Source organism: Homo sapiens, chromosome 3 (assembly GCF_000001405.40).
Source record: "Homo sapiens chromosome 3, GRCh38.p14 Primary Assembly".
Lineage (NCBI taxonomy): Eukaryota > Metazoa > Chordata > Mammalia > Primates > Hominidae > Homo > Homo sapiens.
The window spans coordinates 110,165,275-110,168,400 of NC_000003.12; the positions used below are offsets into that span (position 1 = coordinate 110,165,275).

Below are 3,126 nucleotides of genomic sequence, written 5' to 3' on the forward strand. Positions count from 1 at the left end.
GAGGAAGAGAAGGGGGCATGGGAAACTTGTGTCATTATTGTTTTAAAAAATAATGGGACTGATCTTTGGTGCAGAAACCTTGTATTTGCTCTCAAGTTAAATACATATTTAAGCTGTATCATCTGTTTGTGTCATTTGTGAATATTAAAAGGTACACAGAACTAGAATGTAGAGTGTGATTCTCTCTTTTGTTGTTAGTAATAGTGGTTCCAACTTATTATTTATTCTTACAGTCACAGAGTGTGTAAATACTACTACTTGTTTGCATAGCACTGTGGGCACTCTGGGTTTCATATGTCTTTAGAGACTACAGAGCTTTTAAGAGAGGGGAATTGCTAACAAACGTGGAAGCAAAAGAGACCAAATTAAAACAAAAACAAAACAGTAACATTACTTCCGGGTATTTGAGCCATGACGCTGTGAACTCCAAATATCTGAGACAAGTCTCAGTTAATTTAGGAAGTTTTTTTTTTTTTTTTTGCGCCAAGATTGAGAACGCGCGCCCATGACACAGTCTCAGGAGGTCCTGACGACATGTGCCTAAGGTGGTCAGAGAACAGTTTGGTTTTATACATTTTAGGGAGACATGAGACATCAATCAACACACCCAAGACGAACATTGGTTTGGTCTGGAGAGGAGGGACAACTGGAAGCAAAGGCGGGAAGATTCAAAGCAGGGAGGGAGCTTCCAGGTCATAGGTAGATAGGTGACAAATCGTTGCATTCTTTTCAGTTTCTGATTAGCCTTTTCAAAGGAGGCAATCAGATGTGCATTTATCTTGGTGAGCAGAGAGGAGACTTTGAATAGAATGGGAGGCAGGTTGGCCCTAAGCAGTTCCCAGCTTGACTTTTTCCTTTAGCTTAGTGATGGGGGGCCCCAAGATTTATTGTCCTTTCACAGTACTTACTAATACTGAATAGAATGGATTTGCAAGGTCCACAAAGGTCCACAGAGAAATCATTCTCAAATAGAGTTTAAAAATCATTCAGGTGAAAACATCTAAAATCCTCCCTAATTTTTTTTTTTATTCAATGGTCAAATGAGAGGGTTAGAGAAAGTTTATCATAGTGAGTTTTTCCATAATGTGAAATTTTACTCACTTCAAATAAATGACTTTTGTTCTGAGATTTGTTACCAATGTTTGAAATTTGAACCTTCTTCTAAAGAACAATGGTAACGGCAAATTAAATTTTATTTGTTGGTTTATTACATGGTTGATGAAATGCCGCTACTATTGTTTTAAAGTTCTGTTGAAAATGACAGCATGAAGTCTCAAAACCAGTGCTTTAAATGACTTGTGTTTCTTACAGTGGTTGATACATTTAGTTATAGCATCAGCCTTAAATAAAAGTAGATTCCTTGAGTTAGGATGCAGTAAGCTGAATCCCAGGTTTGAATAACTCATAAGTATGAGAATACAAGCAAATAAGTCACTTTTACATTTTAAAGTAGAAAAGATGTCACTTTGCTAATATCTGCATAAATATTTATCTTCTAATATATAAAAGACATGAAACATTTTAAGTAAATACAACATCAAGGTAAATCAAATTTCTTCCTTCATGAGTTTCTTCTTAAAGGTATTTCTCATTTCCTTCTGGAATTGAGAAACACATTTAAGCAGACAGTATTCTTGCTGAACATAGTTTTATTAAAGTTCTTAAGAAGGCTGAGAGAAAGGGGCCAGAGTATTCAGGAACTTGTCAACCTTTTTTAAGGCCATTAGACTTCATCTTTATGGCAACAGGAAGTAACTGAAGAATTTCAATTATGTGTGCACTACGAAATCATACATATGAATATTTATAAATGATTCCCTCTGGCTGCTGAGAAGAAAATGAAGTGTTGGAAGGTGTAATAGGTGAGAGATATGAATGGCAGCAAAAGCAGGGTGGAGTCAGACTTGTGATCAACAAATTAGTGAATAGTCCAAACTACATGTGTTGACTAATTTCTTCTACATAACCATTTACGAAGACATAAACTCTTAATATAGTAGAGGTGAGTAGTTAGAATTTGCTTCAACAAATAATTTAAATTATATGGCTTGAAACTGTTTATAAGACTTTCTTATATTTGAGGTAGGTTAAGATTGGATCATGTATAGTTATACCTATATAAATACAGTTATAGACATATAGATAACTATTTGCATTTCTATTATGCATAAAATTTTATAAACAGTAAATACTGTATAATGGCTGCTTTAAAGGTGAATAACATTCCAAGTGTTTCTTCACATTTTGAAGGGAGATAAAACCAGAAAGAAAAGCCCCCCCAAAAAGAGATAGTTAATGGGTACAAAAATACAGTTAGATAGAAGAAATGAGATCTAGTGTTTAGTAGCACAATAGGGCTACTATAATTAGCAATAATTTATTTTATATTTCAAAATAACTAAAAGAATGGAATTGGAATGTTCCTAAAACAAAGAAATGATAAATGCTTGAGGTAATGGACACCTGAATTACCCTGATTTTATTATTACACATTGTATGCTTGAATCAAAATATCACCTGTACTCTATAAATATGTACAAATATCTTTAACAATTAAAAATTAAAAAATTTAAAAAACAACTTCCAAAATCTCATTCGTCTTTTTTTTTTGAGATGGAGTTTCACTCTTGTTGCCTAGGCTGGAGTGCAATGGTGCGATTTCAGCTCACCACAACCTCTGCGTCCCAGGTTCAAGCGATTCTCCCACCTCAGCTTCCCAAGTAGCTGGGATTACAGGCGTGTGCCACCATGCCCAGCTAATTTTGTATTTTTAGTAGAGATGGGGTTTCTCCATGTTGGTCAGGCTGGTCTCGAACTCCTGACCTCAGGTGACCCACCCACCTTGGCCTCCCAAAGTGCTGGGATTACAGGTGTGAGCCACCGCACCTGGCCTAATCTCATTAGTCTTTAAAAAAAACTTTTTTTTTATTGTAATTAATTGTCATCTCTTTATTGTAATTAATCCACTCTGGTCGAACTCAATTAACTAATAATGTTTTTACATTTCTTTATCACAATTTTGGTTTGATTTAGGATCCTGAACATTGGGAGAAAAGCAGGTGAAGTGTGTGCAAAAACCCAGTGCATTACTATGTGTCCTCTCCTGTTTCGGCGTTTCTGCTTTCA

The 3,126-nt window shown here is 35.3% G+C and overlaps 1 annotated feature.

The window, feature by feature from the left end:
- Positions 383–1,159: an enhancer, noted in NCBI's record as "OCT4-NANOG-H3K27ac hESC enhancer chr3:109884504-109885280 (GRCh37/hg19 assembly coordinates)". NCBI's record gives its function as "activates a minimal SCP1, AML or CMV promoter by ChIP-STARR-seq in naive H9 embryonic stem cells {active_cell/tissue: H9 hESC(naive)}" and the evidence as "EXISTENCE:reporter gene assay evidence [ECO:0000049][PMID:30033119]".